The sequence below is a fragment of the Homo sapiens genome, chromosome 15, assembly GCF_000001405.40.
Source record: "Homo sapiens chromosome 15, GRCh38.p14 Primary Assembly".
NCBI classification, from domain to species: domain Eukaryota; kingdom Metazoa; phylum Chordata; class Mammalia; order Primates; family Hominidae; genus Homo; species Homo sapiens.
Window position 1 is genome coordinate 89846707 of NC_000015.10, and position 20601 is coordinate 89867307.

Genomic DNA, 20601 nt, shown 5'->3' on the forward strand with positions numbered 1-20601 from the left:
TAGTAGAGACAGGGTTTCACTGTGTTAGCCAGGATGGTCTCGATCTCCTGACCTTGTGATCCGCCTGCCTCGGCCTCCCAAAGTGCTGGGATTACAGGTATGAGCAACTGCGCCCAGCACACCTGGCTAATTTTTGTATTTTTTGGTAGAAATGGGGTCTCACCATGTTGGCCAGGCTGGTCTCAAACTCCTGATCTCAGGTGATCCGCCCACCTCAGCCTCCCAAAGTGCTGGGATTACAGGTGTGAGCCACCTCGCCTGGCCTCATTTTTTCTTTTCTAGGATGCTATCACCTCATCCTCCATCCCTTGAAGGTACTTGCTTCTATAACTGGACCTACTTACTGTCTGCAACACAAAGTTAACCTCTGCAGACAAAAGTAGATTAAGACCAGGCATAGCAGCTCATGCCTGTATTCCCAGCATTTTGGGAGGCCTAGGAAGGAGGATTGCTTGAGCCCAGGAGTTCAAGACCAGCCTGGGCAACATAGTGAGACCTCTGTCTCTCTAAAAAAAAAAAGTTTAAAAACTAGCTGGGCATAGTGGCACAAGCCTGTAGTTCCAGCTACTCGGTAGGCTGAGGTAAGAGGATCACTTGAGCCTGGAAGTCAAGACTTCAGTGATTGCACCACTGCACTCCAGCCTGGGAGACAGGGCGAGACCCTGTTACAAAAAAAAAAAAAAAAAAAAAAAAAAAAGTAGATTAAAATGAGTCTGCTAGTTTCATATCAGAATTGAATCTAAGAAGAAAAATAAAAGTGTTTCTTCAAGGATACAGATGTGCCTCAGGAACCTAGCTCTAGAACTACTAGGGGTGGGGACAAGTCAGTTGCAACAACCCTCCGGAAGGACAGAGGATTCCATGCTCTTCAAGGGTTCCATCCCTGGTTGTTTCTCACTGAAATCAAAGAAAGTTCTGAATCTAATCCCATGTCAACAGAGATCACTTAAAAACAGACTGATCTGGTACCTGAAGATAATAAACAAGAAGGCATAAGCAAGGTATTTAAATTACCTTTTACTCTAGTAAAAACACAGTCTCCAAACCTTAAATTGGTCATGTTCCAAATGTTTAAGTATTTAAATTTACAATGCATTTTTCTATAAAGGTAATAAGTAAGATTTTCAAGGCTAGCAGCTCATGAAAGCAGACTTAAATCCATAAAGCTACCCAAAATGTGGTACCAGAGAGCACCCCTGCCACTACACCTAATATGAACAATACTGTTTCTATAATAAAATGCAGTTCTGTATTGGGATGGCAGGATTCCATCTAACCGAAAATTTCACAGGCAGAGAGGATAAGTAAAATCTTTTGAGACACTAGCAGCATGTTAATGCATGCCACATCCCAAGCTTAATCGAATCCATAGAAACCTCTAATCTAGATCAATCCCTCTCCAGGTCCCTTGCACTGTAGGGCAAATGCCTGTTGTGCTACAAAAGACAGAGGCTCACATTCCTACTGTGGAGTCTTTCTCAAAATAACTGTGTTATACATAGAAGACAAAAACACTAATCAAATATAAAAGAGCATGGTCACAGTGCTTGTATTAAAACATGAGGATGCCAATACTGCAACACTCAAGTTTTGAAAAAGAATTGTTAATCACTGACAAGACTCTAGTCTACTATATAAAAAGCTGAGTGCTGATAGCTTTTTCTTTTTATTTGATACAGAGTCTCGCTCTGTCGCCCAGGCTGGAGTGCAGTGGCGTGATCTTGGCTCACTGCAGGCTCCGCCTCCCAGGTTCATGCCATTCTCCTGCCTCAACCTCCGGAGTAGCTGGGACTACAGGCACCCGCCACCACACCTGGCTAATTTTTTGTATTTTTAGTAGAGACAGGGTTTCACCGTGTTAGCCAGGATGGTCTCGATCTCCTGACCTTGTGATCCGCCTGCCTTGGCCTCCCAGGCTGATAGCTTTTTCTACTCCTTCGTGGCATAGCTGGTTTCATTAATTCCTAGGAAAGGGCTTCAGAAAATAAGTAGGGAAGAGATTGTTGAGAGATGGGAAATGCATCATTTTCTTGTCTATACTTGGGGGCATGGTGGCTATTAATGAGCCAAAGGGTAACGACGCTCTGAGGTGACTCAGCACTGACGGGAAGAGAAAATCATCTGAGAGTCATCTTGGCCCAGAGTCAGACTCTAGTTCCCATATTATACATTTTAGAAAGAAATGAAAAGAGGAAGAAGATATCTTTATGAGTAGTATTGAGGACCTGGTACATATGCCTTTTTCTCTCTTACTCGTACTTTCATTCCAAAGTCCAATGTTTTATCGGTGTTTTAAGACAAGCAAAGGACTGACTATCCTCATTCCCTTGCATCTCTTTTACCTAAAAATGAACATATGGTAATTAGACTCAATGACTGTTGGCTGGATGTCTATGTAGGTGTAACTACAGTGAACAACATGGAACACATTAACAAGTACCAGGCATACTTGACTTCATTGAAAAGTTGACTTCTAGCTAGGGAGACAAAACAATATGCATGAAAGAGACATTAAATCACCATTAAATCATTTTAACAGAAAACTTTAAAAGCGTATTACACACTCCCATGACTTCTAAAAAAGAATATTCTAAATGTAATTGGGCTTTTTTTGGGGGGAGTGCTTTTTTTGCAGCTCATTGTTAATATCTAAGTAATGAATTGTATTTTTTTTTCTTTAGATGGAGTCTCACTCTGTCGCTCAGGCTGGAGTGCAGTGGCACGATCTAGGCTTACTGCAACCTCCACCTCCCAGGTCCAAGTGATTCTCTTGCCTCAGATTCCTGGGTAGCTGGAACTACAGGCGCCCACCACCACGCCCGGCTAATTTTTTGTATTTTTAGTAGAGACGGGGGTTTCACTATGTTAGCCAGGATGGTCTCGATCTCCTGACCTAGTGATCTGCCCACCTTGGCCTCCCAAAGTGCTGGGATTACAGGCATGAGCCACTGCGCCCAGCCTATGAATTGTACTTTTTTAAAAAAAAATTATACTTTAAGTTCTGGGGTACATGTGCAGAACATGCAGGTTTTTACATAGCTATACACGTGCCATGGTGGTTTGTTGCACCCATCAACTGGTCATCTACATTAGGTATTTCTCCTAATGCTACCCTTCTCCTAGCCCCCTACCCCCGAGAGGTGCTGTTGTGTGATGGTCCCCTCCCTGTGCCCATGTGTTCTCATTGTTCAACTGCCATTTATGAGTGAAAACATGTCGTGTTTGGTTTTCTGTTCTTGTGTTAGTTTGCTGAGAATGGTGGTTTCCAGCTTTATCCATGTCCCTGCAAAGGACATGAACTCATCCTTTTTTTATGGCTGCATAGTATTTCATGGTAAATTGTATTTTAATGCTAAGATTCCTTCAGGAACTCTCAGGCACATAGAGCTGTCTGGTCCTAAGCAGCTCTGAAGAAAGCAAGCCAAGAAAGCAACTTTGCTTTGTAAAGTTCTGTTTTTCCCTTTCACCTGCTCTTAGTGTCTTCTGAATCACTTTTATGAACTGTTTGATCTTCAGACTGGACATTTCCATGGTTTTCCCTAGATGTCTTCTTGTCATAAAATTCCACAAGACATTCAATCCCTAGCCATTGATTTCTTTCTCTCTTTCACTCACAGGATCATACATTGTTTCAGTGGGCAATGAATGAATCCAGTGGAGCCTTGTCTTACACATCAGATGAAACGGCTGGCTGGTTTAGGGGCCACAGAGATTGAAAATTTGTTTTAAGCATTAGAATCACTCTAAGCACTCTACGATACACATGAGCACAGGCACATGAGAGCAGAGGCAAAGAAGAGCAGATTCAAATCTTCCATGTCACACTCATTCCAGACATATACTAATTAAGTAGAATTGAGGGCATATTCGTACTGTATTTAGAATTTTTCATTTCCTTTTTGTTTTTGGACAAATGGATAGAGTTGAACAAGTTGAATGTTTCAGTGAGCCCACTGTACCTACCACATAAAAGGCAGTGTGTTAGGTTCAAGGCATTCACTGATTTTTTTCTTTTTTTTTTTTGAGACAGGGTCTTGCTCTGTCACTATCACTCAAGCTGCAGAGCAGAGGCGTGATCATGGCTCACTGCAGCCATGGCCTCCCAGGCTCAAGTGATCCCACCTCAGCCTCCAGAGTAGCTGGGACCACAGACCTGCATCACCACACCCAGCTAATTTTTGTATTTTTTGTAGAGACAGGGTTTCACCATGTTACCCAGGCTGATCTCAAACTCCTGGGCTCAAGCAATCCTTCTGTTTCAACCTCCCAGAGTGCTGGGATTACAGCACCTGGCCGATTTTTCACTAAAAGAACATAATCTCTAACAATGTCTATTTTCAAATATGCTTAACATCACAGATTGTTAAGAGCTGGAAGAAGGAAATGAAGATAAGATGTGGACCCTGTCCTTAAAGAGCTTAGAATCAAGTAAGAAAGATTAAACATGTACAGAATTAACTATAATAAAAGGAAGTCTGTGATAAATACCATGACCCAAGTACAAAGTACTATGTTATTTCAGAGAAGGGTGGCCTTAAAACTAACTGGCAATTGGAGGAAAAGGCATCCAGGCAGAGGGAATGGCAAATTACCTAGCAACTCATTCATTATTCTTCATGCTCTACTAATTCATCTTCTTTTTTTTTTTTTGAGACAGAGTCTTGCTCTGTCCCCCAGGCTGGAGTGCAGTGGTGCGATCTCAGCTCACTGCAACCTCCGCCTCCTGCGTTCAAGCAATTCTCCTGCCTCAGCCTCCTGAGTAACTATGATTACAGGCATGTGCCACCACGCCTGGCTAATTTTTCTATTTTTAGTAGAGATAGGGTTTCACTATGTTGGCCAGGCTGATCTTGAACTCCTGACCTTGTGATCTGCCCAACTCGGCCTCCCAAAGTGCTGGGATTACAGGCATGAGCCACCGCGCCCAACTCAACTTCTTTTTTAATTAATAAAAGGATCACTCACTCACTGGCTTCATATTTTATGCTCTTTGAATATATATAGTTGACTGCAGTAAAGTATACTCACTACATATTATTACTTCCTTTTTTAAAAAAACCAGTTCCTATTATGAGTCAGGGTTCTCCGTGAAATCATTTTTTTTTTTTTTAATGTTCTAGCAGGACTTTTTCTTTCTAACCCAGTGTTTCATCCTCCTTTGGCTACTACCTGTTTGCACTGCTGATCCCAAATGCCAAGCACAGTGCTAAGTACAGAAAAAGATCCAGACCTTGTCCTTTTGAATTTCATCCTTCCTTGGTTGCTTATCTGCTAAGAAAACATGACACAAACACATTTCCCCACATTTAGGATGTCAAAGCAGGCGGGAATACTACAGGCAGCATTGCAGAGTGTAGAGGGAGCGGGTCCATAATCAGAGTCCAGGATCTGAATGTGGCTCTATCACTTACCAGCTGTGTGACCTTAGAGAAACTGAGGCTTCCTACCAATAAACCTCAGTTTCTTCATCTGTAAAATGGGGAGAACCAGAGTTCTTAGCTGCCAGGCTTATTCTAAAGATTAAAAAAGATGATGTAGGAAATAAATGAGACACTGTATATAAAGCACTTAGCTATCTATTACGTGCCTAGTTCTTAGTAAGTACTCGGATGTTGGTTAATTTGGTAGTTATAATCAAAGTCATCTTGACCAACCTCTTTCCCAGTGCAGGATTCTGTTCTTTGGCTCCTGCAACAGTATAGATCCTTCACTCTGGTGACAGATCCTTCGCCTCCATGAAGAGAGCTCACTACTGTTTCCAAGCTGCTCAGTGGGCTGTTGAGCAGCAACAACTGTCAGAGAGTTTTTAACTGTACTGAGCTACAACAAGCATCAAATAATTTCCACCCCCGATCCTACCTGTGTCTTCTGGAGCAACACAGAGTAAGTCCCTGCCCTCTACCCTGGGATTCTATCACTCTGCCTAAGGCAACCACATAGGCAGGCAGATAAGTGAAGCACAATTTGGCCATAAAACAAAAAAAGAAAAAAAGTCCAAATGCCACACCTAGATCCCATAAAACTGTTTCTAAGGAGACCATCTCCATCCCCACAGTTCCTGCTCCTTCTAAATCACTGCCCATGGAACAGCCCTGTGCCCCAGTCCACCTGCTCGCCCTTTACATGCTGGCTCAAAGACTTCCAAAGCTGTAACATCCCTAAACACAAGTTACAAAAATAGTTCAGTATCACTGGAGTGTAAAGTTCAAAGCAAGAGGTGAGGCTAGACAGGCAGGCTGGGCATGCTCATGGAGGTCTTTGTACATAAGAAGGGGCTGCAGCTTCACCCTTTTGGCAGTGGTCCCCAACTTAAAAAAAAATTCATGAAAATTCACTTAAATAACACACTTCCCTCAATCACTCAGTGTCACTGAACTATCATAAGGTTTTGAGGAAGGTGGTGGAGGGGAGTGAGGCATGTCCTTCTCCTTAAGAATCACTGCAGCTGGGGGTATACATCAGCAAGGGAGTTAGTAAAAAATACATTTTTAAATATATCATTAGGAAGGTGTGTAAAGGATAGTCTTAAGGCACAATATAGGAGGCAGAGAGACTAGTAGGAAAAAAGTAAAAATAAAGACAAATTCACCATTTATTGAACTAAGCAATTATTCACTAATTCCGATCCTCAAATAATTGAATGGTGGATATTACTGTATTATATCAAATCTAAGACTTCACTGATTGTAAAACATACTATTTTTATGTGCTACTACAAAAGAAAAATGACATACCATTGATTATAAGAAAAATCTTGATTTGAGATGTTAAAATTATAAATGGTACCCAAAAAGTGAGTCTAAAGAATCAATGAGGGCTGCCACCCCGTCTGGGAAGTGAGGAGTGTCTCTGCCTGGCCGCCCATCGTCTGGGATGTGAGGAGCCCCTCTGCCTGGCTGCCCAGTCTGGAAAGTGAGGAGCGTCTCCGCCCGGCCGCCATCCCATCTAGGAAGTGAGGAGCGCCTCTTCCCAGCCGCCATCACATCTAGGAAGTGAGGAGCGTCTCTGCCCGGCCGCCCATCGTCTGAGATGTGGGGAGCGCCTCTGCCCCGCTGCCCCATCTGGGATGTGAGGAGCGCCTCTGCCCGGCCGAGACCCCGTCTGGGAGGTGAGGAGCGTCTCTGCCCGGCCGCCCCGTCTGAGAAGTGAGGAGACCCTCTGCCTGGCAACCACCCCGTCTGAGAAGTGAGGAGCCCCTCCGCCCGGCAGCTGCCCCGTCTGAGAAGTGAGGAGCCTCTCCGCCCGGCAGCCACCCCATCTGGGAAGTGAGGAGCGTCTCCGCCCGGCAGCCACCCCGTCCGGGAGGGACGTGGGGGGGGGGTCAGCCCCCCGCCCGGCCAGCCGCCCCATCCGGGAGGGAGGTGGGGGGTCAGCCCCCCCGCCCGGCCAGCCGTGCCATCCGGGAGGGAGGTGGGGGGGTCAGCCCCCCGCCTGGCCAGCCATGCCGTCCGGGAGGGAGGTGGGGGGGTCAGCCCCCCGCCCGGCCAGCCGCCCCGTCCGGGAGGTGAGGGGCGCCTCTGCCCGGCCGCCCTACTGGGAAGTGAGGAGACCCTCAGCCCGGCCAGCCACCCCGTCCGGGAGGGAGATGGGGGGGTCAGCCCCCCCACCCGGCCAGCCGCCCCGTCCGGGAGGGAGGTAGGGGGGTCAGCCCCCCGCCTGGCCAGCCGCCCCGTCCGGGAGGGAGGTGGGGGGGTCAGCCCTCCGCCCGGCCAGCCGCCCCGTCCGGGAGGTGAGGGGCGCCTCTGCCCAGCCGCCCCTACTGGGAAGTGAGGAGCCCCTCTGCCCGGCCAGCCGCCCCGTCCGGGAGGGAGGTGGGGGGGGTCAGCCCCCCGCCCGGCCAGCCGCCCCGTCCGGGAGGGAGGTGGGGGGGGTCAGCACCCCCGCCCAGCCAGCCGCCCTGTCCGGGAGGTGAGGGGCGCCTCTGCCCGGCCGCCCCTACTGGGAAGTGAGGAGCCCCTCTGCCCGGCCAGCCGCCCCGTCCGGGAGGGAGGTGGGGGGGTCGGCCCCCCGCCCGGCCAGCCGCCCCGTCCGGGAGGGAGGTGGGGGGGTCGGCCCCCCGCCCGGCCAGCCGCCCCGTCCGGGAGGGAGGTGGGGGGGTCGGCCCCCCGCCCGGCCAGCCGCCCCGTCCGGGAGGGAGGTGGGGGGGTCGGCCCCCCGCCCGGCCAGCCGCCCCGTCCGGGAGGGAGGTGGGGGGGGGGGGGGTTGGCCCCCCTGCCCGGCCAGCCGCCCCGTCCGGGAGGTGAGGGGCACCTCTGCCCGGCCGCCCCTACTGGGAAGTGAGGAGCCCCTCTGCCCGGCCACCACCCCGTCTGGGAGGTGTGCCCAACAGCTCATTGAGAACGGGCCAGGATGACAATGACGGCTTTGTGGAACAGAAAGGCGGGAAAGGTGGGGAAAAGATTGAGAAATCGGATGGTTGCCGTGTCTGTGTAGAAAGAAGTAGACATGGGAGACTTTTCATTTTGTTCTGCACTAAGAAAAATTCCTCTGCCTTGGGATCCTGTTGATCTGTGACCTTACCCCCAACCCTGTGCTCTCTGAAACATGTGCTGTGTCCACTCAGGGTTAAATGGATTAAGGGCGGTGCAAGATGTGCTTTGTTAAACAGATGCTTGAAGGCAGCATGCGCGTTAAGAGTCATCACCAATCCCTAATCTCAAGTAATCAGGGACACAAACACTGCGGAAGGCCACAGGGTCCTCTGCCTAGGAAAACCAGAGACCTTTGTTCACTTGTTTATCTGCTGACCTTCCCTCCACTATTGTCCCATGACCCTGCCAAATCCCCCTCTGTGAGAAACACCCAAGAATTATCAATAAAAGAATAAATTAAAAAAAAAAAAAAAGAATGGACTTTCCCAGGCCAGCTGTGGTGGCTCACGACTGTAATCCCAGCACTGTGGCAGGCCAAGGCGGGCAGATCACCTGAGATCAGGAGTTCAAGACCAGCCTGACCAACACGGAGAAACCCCGTCTCTACTAAAAATAAAAAAAATTAGCTGGGCGTGGTGGTGCATGCCTGTAATCCCAGCTACTTGGGAGGCTGAGGCAGGAGAATTGCTTGAACCCAGGAGGCAGAGGTTGTTGTGAGCTGAGATTGCACCATTGCACTCCAGCCTGGGCAACAAGAGGGAAACTCCATCAGAAAAAAAAAAAAAAAGGACTTTCTCAAAGAAAATGTATTTAAATGTCTGCACCAATAATTCCAGCATGTGTATGAATAAATATGATATGTCCTTTAAAAAAAAAAAAAAAAAAAAAAAGAATCAATGAAATGTGATATCATCCCTGTTTTACAACTGAAGAAAACTGAGGCACAAAGAGGTCTTTAAGAGGGTTGCATAAATTACACAGTTAGAATCTGGTAGAGTCAGAAGCCCACAAAGGCAATTCATGCAGAATCCCACTTGAGGAACACAGGGTTCCTAGTTCCTCCTGAGTGCACCCAGAGGTTATCTCCCAAGGGAGCAAAGGCAAAGTGAAAAGTGAGCCCACCCCGAAACTAGCCAGTATGCACAAGTCATAACCTTCAAAGGCAAGGTCTAATTAGAATTTGGTTTTAAAAAATGGGCCTTGGCTGGGTGCAGTGGCTCACGCCTGTAATCCTAGCACTTTGGGAGGCTGAGGAGGATGGATCACTCGAGGTCAGGAATTTGAGACCAGGTTGGCCAACATGGCGAAACCCTGTCTCTACTAAAAAATACAAAAATTAGGGCTGGGCGTGGTGGCTCACGCCTGTAATCCCAGCACTTTGGGAGGCCGAGGTGGACAGAGCATGAGGTCAGAAGTTCAAGACTAGCCTGGCCAAGATGGTGCAACCCCGTCTCTACTAAAAAAATACAAAAAATTAGCCAGGCATGGTGGTGCGCACCTGTAATCCCAGCTACTCGGAAGGCTGAGGCAGGAGAATTGCTTGAATCCAGGAGGCAGAGATTGCAGTGAGCCAAGATCACACCACTGCACTCCAGCCTGGATGACAGAGTGAGACTCCATCTCAAAAAAAAAAAAAAAAAAAATATTCGCTGGGCGTGGTGGTGCGCACCTGTAGTCCCAGCTACTCAGGAGGCTGAGGCATGAGAATTGCTTAAACCCGGGAGGCAGAGGTTACAGTGAGCCAAGATCATGCCACTGCACTCCAGCCTGGGCAACAGAGTAAGACTCTGTCTTAAAAAAAAAAAAAAAGAAAAGAAAAGAAAAGAAAAAGAAACCCACAAAATTGGGACACATATCTATTTCACATCAACTAATCAACTCTGACTGTCCTGTATTGTTTGGATAACCAACAAAGTATTACATACTGACACTATTCCAAAGGCGTTTACAATCTACTAGAAACAGTTAGAATTAAAAACTTGAGAGCATGAGCAAGAAGACAAACAGTTTGGAGAACTACAATACCGAAGTTTAGAGAAAGCTTCATCAAAAGTAAAAACTGGGCTGGGGCTGGGCACGGTGGAGGAGAGACAGGGTTTCAACATGTTGGTCAGGCTGGTCTTGAACTCCTGACCTCAAGTGATCCATCCACCTCGGCCTCCCAAAGTGCTGGGATTACAGGTGTGAGCCACCGTGCCTAGTTTATGAGCTTCTTACAGGTAGAAAATTTGAGTTTTATATCTTTGTATCTCTATATTTAGCGCAGTGTCTTTTTCCTAATGAATGCTTAATAAATGATTGTTGTTTGGTAATCAGAGAAAAGACAAAAACACTCTCAGACATCAGTACTTCATCAAGGTCAGAGAGCCAAGGTAAAGACAAATGATTTGCAGAAAGCCTCTAAGGAGGGAGGCACTCGCCTCCCACATATAAAAACCATTTATTCTGTTAAGAAATTTTATTTTAAGTCATCTTAAATTCATTTGGGAAGTATAGAAGATATAAATGCCCAATAATCAGAGAAACTGAAAAGCTGCCATGTGGGATACCTTTCCTAAGATTCAACCATGTTTTCTTCTTATTAGAGCACTCCTCTATTTTTCTGTTACTAAAATTTCTAGCTTCCCTTCTACAAAGTGATAATAAAAATCAAACATTAACTTTTCCTCTAAGAAAATCCATGAAAAAACCATGGTCATCATTGGTAATATTCAACTAGTTCAGGTTCTCCTCCCTCTTGGGCACATAATAGGATCATTTCCCCATCCCTTGGGTGGGAGCATGTGACTGATTTTGATCACTGAAATGTGAGTGTACGAGGATGTGTCACTTCAAGAGCCGGAACACACACATGCCCAGGTAGAAGCATATGTTGAGGAGATTTCCATCAGCCTGGACCTCAGAGGAACTACAGTCAGCAGACACACCACAATGGCCACATAGCACGAGTGAAAAAATAAACCTTGCTCTCATAAGCCATTGGGATTTTGGAGTAATGCATTACCTAGCCTACCTTGATTGATACAAAAATCAAGCCTGGAAAAGGGTTCTTAGTTAGGAATCAAGAGATTCTGCTTTGCTGGGTGTGGTGGCTCACACCTGCAATCCCAGCACTTTGGGAGGCTGAGACAGGCGGATCACCTGAGGTTGGGAGTTTGAGACCAGCCTGATCAACATAGAGAAACTCCGTCTCTACTAAAAAAAAATACAAAACTAGCCGGGTGTGGTGGCGCACGCCTATAATCCCAGCTAGGCAGGAGGCTGATGCAGGAGAATTGCTTGAACCCAGGAGGTGGAGGTTGCAGTGAGCCGAGATCACGTCATTGCACTCCAACCTGGGCAACAAGAGCGAAACTCCATCTCAAAAAAAGAAAGAAAAAGAAAGAAAGAAAGAAAGAAAGAAAGAAAGAAAGAAAGAGAGAGAGAGAGAGAGAGAGAGAGAGAGAGAAAGAAAGAAAGAAAGAAAGAAAGAAAGAAAGAAAGAGAAACTCTACTTCTTATCTTAGAGTAGGCTAATCCTCTTCTGCAATATAAGGAATAATAGCAAGAACAATAAAATTGAATCTCAATTCCAGCCTTTCAGGGTGCCTATAAATCAGCAACCAAAGCAAAATACAATTCGTTTTATCTGCAACATATCCAAGTAATACCATGGGTAATAAGCTTTGTTTACTGACTACAACCTTGACAAACACTAGGTTTTACTGAAAACGGCTGCATATCAAATGAATATCTCTAAAGGTCAAATTGTGCTGTTTTGTGTACACTGTTATTCTACTAACCAGTAATAAGGAATGACTAACACACCAAACTTGAAGCAGCAGGTAATCAATGAGATTGTGCACTGAGGCAATCCAAAGTTCAAGTAAGGAAAGCGAGTGTGTATATGGCAGCAGATATTCAGTATAGTCTGGAACAATCCTTGCTTTTGTTTTTTTCTTTTTTTTTTTCTTTTTTACTTAAAGAGATGGGGTCTCACTTATTGCTCAGGCTGTTCTCAAACTCCTGGGCTCAAGTGATCCTCTCGCCTCAGCCTCCCAAAGTGCTGGGGATTATCGTCGTGAGCCTCCACAACCAGCCCAAGTGTCCTTCCTTCCTTCCTTTCTTCCTTCCTTCCCTCTCTCCTTGCTTCCTTTCTCTTTCTTTCTTTCCTTCTTTCTTTCTTTTTCCCTCCTTCCTTCCTTTTTTTCTTTTCTTTCTTTCCTTTTTTCTTTTCTTTTTCTTCCTTCCTTCCTTTCCTTCCTTCCTTTTTCCTTCCTTTCCTTCCTTCCTTCTTTCCTTCCTTTCCTTCCTTCCTTCCTTCCTTCCTTTTCTTTCTTTCTTTTTTTTTTTTGAGATGGAGTCCTGCTCTGTCGCCCAGGCTGGTGTGCAGTGGCGCGACCTCGGCTCACTGCAACCTACACTTCCCAGGTTCAAGCAATTCTCCTGCCTCACGTCTCCCGTGTAGCTGGGATTAAAGGTGCACGCCACCACGCCTGGGTAATTTTTGTATTTTTAGTAGAGACGGAGTTTCACCACGTTGGCCAGGCTGGTCTCGAACTCCTGACCTCAGGTGAGCCACCCGCCTTGACCTCCCAAAGTGCTAAGATTACAGGCTCGAGCCACCGCGCCCAGCCCTTCTTTCTTTTTTTTTCTAAACAAATTACAGGGATTTTAGAAATTTAAGAAATCATTATTGCTGATCTTTTTTTTTTTTTTTTTCTGAGATGGAGTCTCGCTCTGTCACCCAGGCTGGAGTGCAGTGGCGCGATCTCGGCTCACTGCAAGCTCCGCCTCCAGGGTTCATGCCATTCTCCTGCCTCAGCCTCCAGAGTAGCTAGGACTACAGGCACCTGCCACCATGCCCAGCTAATTTTTTGTATTTTTTAGTAGAGACAGGGTTTCACCGTGTTAGCCAGGTTGGTCTCGATCTCCTGACCTCGTGATCTGTCCGCCTTGGCCCTCCCAAAGTGCTGGGATTACAGGCATGAGCCATCATGACCAGCCGATCTCTGTCTTTATGTTACCCTGAGGGAATAAGATTTTGGCCTCTGAAAAAAATATTCTACAGCCAACACTAAGAATTGAAGATAACATACAGAAAGTACAGTAGTCCCCCCTTACCTGCCTAGAATATGTCCTAAGACCCCCAGTGGATGCGTTATTTTTTCCTATACACACATACCTAGGATAAAGTCTAATTTGTAAATTAGGCACAGTAAGAGATTAACAACGATAACTAATAATAAAAACAATTATGACAATATGCCAGCATCATTACTCTTGCACTTTGGGGCCATTATGAAGTAAAATAAAGGTTACCTGAACACAAGCACCGTGACACTGTGACAGTCAAGATGGCTACTAAGTAAGCAGTGGGCAGCTAGTGTACACAGCACGGATACAATGGATGAGGGGATGATTCCCATCCTGGAGCAGGACAGAGCAACATTTCATCATGCTGCTCAGAATGGCATGCAATTTAAAACGTATTGTTTATTTCTAGAATTTTCCATTTAATATTTTTGGACCATGGTTGACTGTGCATAACTGGAACTACAGAAAGTGAAACTGCAGATAAAACTGTCTGTCTTAACCACGCTTTAACTCTGCCCTACAACTGGCCTTTCTGTATGTAAGATAATAAATTTCCTTATTACTTAAGCCAAAAAAAAAAATTCTGCCACAAAATTCTTACCTATCAAGCATCAGTAAAGAAGGGCTTTATAGATGCAATGGAACACAAGGCTGGTCTCAGCTCTCTTCTTCTCTTAGGCACATCCAGATAGAGAAACAGAGGCAGCCAGGGATAGTCAGGTATGTTAACTCGCACCTTTTACAAGAACTAAAACTCAAACAGAATACCTTATTCTTCCAGACCAAATAGCTCCTCTTTCATCATCAAAAACACAAACTGTCTGTCCCTCACTTGTCCCTCCATTCCTGGAGACCTGCAGTCAGGACATCTGCTTCAACGTCACAGGGTGTGGCAGGTATTAATGAGCTTTGTTATCACAAGCTCTGTTCACAGAAGGGACATCTGGCAAACAAAACCCAATATTACTGTTTATGATCCTTTCATCTTAGTGCTCACGAGTTAATTTTGAACTCTCAGCATTTTTCCATTTTAGCAGCCTATGCTTAGCAGAGATTTAAAATTCCATACTATGAGGTTTTCTTGGGTTCAGCACCATTCAGAAGCATATGTTTCAATTCTCTTGAGAGGGCCCACTGCAAATTGAAATCTATTTAAAAAAAAATAAAGCGCTGGATAAATTCCCTTGACATAGCCATTGAATTGTGACTCTGATGACCAAATCTTGAAAGCCCAATTGAATTCTAAATCCAGCTTTGCTATTAGATACTGGTAGATCAGAATGTTAGGTCACCCACACAGTTTTCTTTGAACAAAATTCAATTCACCATAATTAACACCAACACCCAGCTCAGTCATAATGTTGAGCTGTGTTTAGGGATTTCTGAAAGCAAAAGGGAACCAAGTACCCTAGGCTCTAAATGGCACAGCCAGGAGAGCTGATGGTTACCCCAGAGACTATGAAATCAGACCTTACTCCAGCCTCCAACAGTTTAAATCATGAGCAACCTTATGAGACTAGAGTCCTGGGAACTCTTTAGTGACAGTCACCTGAAGATTACCCCAGTCAGTAAAAGGTACCACACTAGATTCAGTGAGGAATACAAAGATAAGGCAGTCTAACCAAGCAGGGAAAACATAGAAAGGTACATAAATTAAGGTCACAGAAGGATAAAAATAATACTATACCTGGTTCAAAGAGATCACAATAGGCTAGACCATGAGGGCAAGCTTTAGGGTGGTAGGATTTGAGCAGCACTTGAATGACAGGCAGTATTTAGTACATGAAAAGACAATTCAGGCAGAGAGTTGAGGCAGGAACTACAAAATAAGTAGGAGTGGTCCACTGTGGCTAGAGCAGAAAGTGTCTGGCCAGTAGTTACGGAAGTAAAGCCAGGATAGGATGGGCACAAATTGTGGAGAGCCTTGAATGTGTCCGGCCAAGGAGTCAAGGCTAGTCTAAGAAGTACATTAGAAAAACTAATTTCAGTATGTGGGATCAACAAGAAGGAAGAGAGAATAAGGTTAGAAAACCTGCCAGAAACAATCAAGAGACATGACAACTAAAGACAATGTTTGACTCATAACTGAAACTGAGATTTAAAAAAAGATCTAAAGGACATTTCTGGGACAATTGGGAAACTTAAATATGAACTATATATTGGAAAACAATATTTATTAATGTTAAATTTCCCAACTATGTTAATTGTGTTGTGCATCATTAGAGAATTACATACAATGTATTATATAAGAATATCCTTGCTCTTAGGAGATATTTATTGACATATTTAGGGATGAAAAGTTATGATGTCTGCAACTAATTCTCAAAATCGTTCAGGAAAAAAAGTATATATGTATATAGACATAAAAGCAAGTATGCCAAATGTTAATAGTTGGTGAATCTAAGAACAAGATATAAAGAAGGACATTACAGAAAAAAGCAACAGATTTAGTGATTGACTGGACCTTGGGAGCGAGGAAGAGGGAGAAAAGGTTTTGAATGTAGATGACAGAGGATGGTAGTAACACTCCTGGAAAAGGGAAGCTGCAGGGAGAAATGGTTTTCAGAAGACATATGCTGAAGCTGGCTCTGGATACGTGGCAAGAAGAAATTTAGATGTGAGAATGACATTAGGGAGAAATGCCTTCAGGCTGTTGGAAATACAGGAATAGGACTCGAGCCATACATCAAGACTAGAATTACCCATTTGGGAATTACCTACATAGATAATAGTGTGAGCATGAAAATTTTTTTTTAAATACCCAAGTTTTGCTTCAAGACCTAGAACATGAAATATGGATGAGATTTATGCTAGAAATATGAGAGGGAGAAGAGAGAGGTGAGAGATGACTGACAACATAACTTCCTGATAGAGTGGGAAAAGAATAGGAAAGAAATCAGCAGGGTTCTATATGACAGAAAGAAAGGTGGAAAAAGATTAAGAGAGTGCTCCACTGAAGGGTTAACAGTATCAGATACCACAGAAACAATAAAAAAGGTGATGACTAGGAAACGGCCACAGGATTTGAAAATTGGGAAATCATCAGTGAATTCTGGGTAGGACTGAAAACCAGGCTATGGGACTCTAGAAAGAGAACAGAGAAAGTAGAATTAAAGACTGGGCGTAAATCACCCACGAATTCAAGTTCACCTTGCATGAGAACAATGGAAATGGAACTACAGTTAGTGGGGCAGTAGAGCCATGGGAAGGGCTGTATTCACTCCGAGACCAGGGCATTCTGTGTAGACACAGAAGAACAAACACTAAGGACACCTTAGAGACCAGTGCAAGAAGTGACATTATGGTGTGTGTCGGGGAGAGACAGAAAGATAACTTGGCTCTAGAAATGGAATGAAATAAACCCTCCTTTAACACAGGAAGAAAAGGAGAGAGAGGAGGTGAAAAAGAGAGAAGCAGTGATAAAAAGAGTATACAAAAACAACTTAGGAGGTTAAACAAGAAATCACAAGATTAGGAATAAACAACTTGGCAGAGCCAAGGAATTCAGTCATAGCTGGTCTTTACACAGGCCTACTACTCCGGCCACATCTGCTTAAGGTGATGGGGCATCTATCCATGACTATCTAATGAAGATCTTAAAGACCTAGGAACTGATGAGAGTTTCTGACCTCAAGGTGAAGAGATTCTTTAGTTAAAAAGAACAGAGTTCAAGGTGATGTTCCTATTGTCTTAGGACAAGGCTTTTGCCTATCTTAGTAAAAAGATCATTTTCTATTATCAACAGAAGAAGCTATACTTGAATTAGCAACTGCTCTCTATGAGGGCAAAGATAAGCTTGAAATCCTATGAAAAGGAAGCCACCTATTGGAAGCCTCAGACATTCTAAAGCTGAATAGGGTAGGATTCTGATTCCTTGCATCACTTGTTTTCAAAAATCTCAGGAGATATGAACAGTTATTTCCTAATACTGCATGAACAACAAAAATACATAGTTTCATAAACTGTAAAAAAAATTTGCAGTGGCAGCAAAATACTTTATGGAACTTATCTGAAGATAAGACATATGAGGAAGAACAACATTTTTATGGCCTTTTATTTCCTTCTAAAAGCCACATCCAATAAAATGGCTGGAACTGGAATTACTTTACTGCTTTAGCAGGCATCCTTACAGATGTTTACAAAACAGTATTAGAATGATGATGCAAAAAAATCATGATTACCTCAGGAACTGGAAAAAAAGCTTTTGATAAATTTTAACATCCTTTTATGATTAAAAATCCTTAGTAGGAAGAGAAAGGAAGAAACATCCTTAACCTGACAATCTTTACCAAAAAAACCTATAGCAAATACTCTACTTCATGGTGACAGGATGAAAGCTTCCCTTTGAAACCAGGAATCAGAGCAGATGCCCACTGTCACTACTTCTATTCAATACAACTTCTACCAACACATTTTTTTTTTTTGAGACGGAGTCTCGCTCTGTCACCCAGGTTGGAGGGCAGTGGTGTGATCTCGGCTGCCGGGTTCAAGTGATTCTCCTGCCTCAGCCTCTCAAGTAGCTGGGACTACAGGCACACCACCACGCCCAGCTAATTTTTGTATTTTTAGTAGAGACAAGGTTTCACCATGTTGTCCAGGCTGTTCTCAAACTCCTGACCTAAGTTGACCCACTCGCCTCAGCCTCCCAAAGTGCTGGGATTATAGGCATTAGCCACTGTGCCCGGTCCTTACAAATACGTTTTTAAATCACAGGCAGACAACCTCACAGAAGAAAGAACAAAGGCCCTGAATAAACATTTCACTAGAGAGGACCTCCTAATAGGCAATAAACAAGAAAAGATGCTCATCTTCATAAGAAATGCAATTGGAATGACAATGAAATGCCAGTACATACCTACTAGCTGGATAAAAATTAAGTTCTATATCCATCAGTCAGGACAGGCTTGGTTAAGTCACAGTAACAATTTTAACATTTCATGGCTTAAAGTAACAAGTTTATTTCTCTCATACTATGCACACATCCACTGTGCGTCCACTGGGGAGCACTGCTCTACCTCATCCTCAGTTAGGGACCCAGGCCCTGGAAGGCTGTGTGTCCATGCTTCCACAAATGGAATATATATATATATATTCCATTATTATATATATTAGCACTGGCTCCTAAGTTTTGCCTAGAAGTGACACATGGCACTTCCACTCACACTTCATTAGCTAAAGCAAGTCACATGGCTACACCTAACTTCAGGAAGGCATATTAGTATAATTTTACCATGTTTCTCGAAGGGGAAAGAACTGTAAATATTTAGTTAACAGTTCTAATGATTACCACACTGAGAATATAAACCTTTGGTGAGCATACAGAGCACTGGGAACACTCACCCCCGATTGGTAGAAGTATAAATGGATACAATCACTCTGGCATTATCTAACAAAGTGGCAGATACTATGGTCTACAGTCCAGAGGCCTTGAGCCTCAGACTTCTTTTGCCAGTGCTGCAGCCCTGCTGGTGCTTTTGTGCTTCCTTCTAGAGGCCTGTTTCTTCCTTCTAGAGGCCTCACCTATGACCCAGGAATTGCACTGTTAAGAGAAATAGATGTTTCAAGAAAATGTACAAAAATGTACAATAGCATCCATTTTCAAGAATATTCATGACAACATATTTCATAAAAGCTCCAAACTCAAAACAATCTAATTCCATCAGTCATAGAATGGATAAATTCATATAATGAAATCCTATGCAGCAATGAAATTAAACTTCCTAAGGCCACATGTAACAAAATGGGTGATTCTTACAAATAACACGGAGCAAAGAAGGTAAAACACAAAACAACAAATGTTGACTTTCAAAGTCACCTTGGAGGCTGGGCGCGGTGGCTCACTCACGCCTGTAATTCCAGCACTTTGGGAGACTGAGGTGGGTGGATCACCTGAGGTCAGGAGTTGGAGACCAGCCTGACAGATATGATGAAACCCTGTCTCTACTAAAAATACAAAAATTAGCCGGGCATGGTGGCAGGCACCTGTAGTCCCAGCTACTCCGGAGGCTGAGACAGGAGAATCACTTGAACACGGGAAGCAGAGGTTGCAGTGAGCCGAGATCACACAACTGCACTCCAGCCTGGGCAACAGAGCGAGACTCCGTCTCAAAAAAAAAAAAAAAAAAAAGTCACCATGGAGGTATACTCCACGTTGCCTAGACAATGAACTAGCTTAGACTAGGGGGTTGGGAGGCTACCCCTTCTCCCAGTGAGAGGGGCTGCACCCAAGCACAACTTCCCACAGCACCTACAGCTGTCTTCTCCAGGTGTGTATTATCCCACAGGTCCCTAAGTTTCCAGGTGTTGGGCAGCTGGCATTCCCAGACAACTTCCTTTTTTTTTTTTTTTGAAATGGAGTTTTGCTCTTGTTGCCCAGGCTGAAGTGCAATGGCATGATCTCGGCTCCCTGCAACCTCTGCCTCCTGGGTTCAAGTGATTCTCCTGTCTCAGCCTCCTGAGTAGCTGGAATTATAGGCATGCACCACCAAGCCCAGCTAATTTTGCATTTTTAGTAGAGACGGGGTTTCTCCATGTTGGTTAGGCTGGTCTCGAACTCCCGACCTCAGGCCTCCCAAAGTGCTGGGATTATAGGCGTTAGCCACCGCACCCGGCCCCTAGACAACATCTATAAGCAGCTGGCACACAAATACAGATTTCGTGGTGTCTAAGCATTCTGCCTATCTCTCCACTAGCAAAGCTACTCTCACAGGTGCCTGATAAAAAAGACAGCATTGGAGGAGGTGGGTGATGGGAGTCATTCCAGCAGAGACACCTCAATACACCTCTCCATGGGCTCTTCTCTTGCTTTGAAAACTCCCCCTTTTCCCCTCTCCCTCTCCCTCTCCCTCTCCCCCTACCCCTCCCCCTCCCCCTCTCCCTCTCCCTCTCCCTCTCCCCACGGTCTCCCTCTCATGCGGAGCCGAAGCTGGACTGTACTACTGCCATCTCGGCTCACTGCAACCTCCCTGCCTGATTCTCCTGCCTCAGCCTGCCGAGTGCCTGCGATTGCAGGCACGCGCCGCCACGCCTGACTGGTTTTGGTGGAGACGGGGTTTCGCTGTGTTGGCCGGGCCGGTCTCCAGCCCCTAACCGCGAGTGATCCGCCAGCCTTGGCCTCCCGAGGTGCCGGGATTGCAGACGGAGTCTCGTTCAC

General features: G+C 45.0%; 2 protein-coding genes and 1 non-coding gene across 5 annotated transcripts in view, besides 2 other annotated features; all 3 read right to left on the reverse strand.

The window, feature by feature from the left end:
* Positions 1-20601, reverse strand: part of ARPIN-AP3S2 (ARPIN-AP3S2 readthrough) — an 82354-nt gene that overhangs the window by 16108 nt on the left and 45645 nt on the right. The window lies entirely within an intron of this gene.
* The window catches only part of AP3S2 (adaptor related protein complex 3 subunit sigma 2), a 63396-nt gene that overhangs the window by 16108 nt on the left and 26687 nt on the right, over positions 1-20601 (reverse strand). The gene's annotated exons all lie outside the window — the stretch shown is intronic.
* Positions 1500-2699: an enhancer, noted in NCBI's record as "CDK7 strongly-dependent group 2 enhancer chr15:90391438-90392637 (GRCh37/hg19 assembly coordinates)". NCBI's record gives its function as "activates an origin of replication core promoter dependent on BRD2, BRD4, P300/CBP, MED14 and CDK7 cofactors, with strong dependence on CDK7, by STARR-seq in HCT116 cells {active_cell/tissue: HCT116}" and the evidence as "EXISTENCE:reporter gene assay evidence [ECO:0000049][PMID:35650434]".
* Positions 3931-4015, reverse strand: MIR5094 (microRNA 5094). Its single transcript, NR_049817.1, has one exon. It is a non-coding gene; the product is annotated as a microRNA 5094 (primary transcript).
* Positions 5011-5060: an enhancer, noted in NCBI's record as "active region_10057". NCBI's record gives its function as "activates an Ori minimal core promoter by ATAC-STARR-seq in GM12878 lymphoblastoid cells {active_cell/tissue: GM12878}" and the evidence as "EXISTENCE:reporter gene assay evidence [ECO:0000049][PMID:35858748]".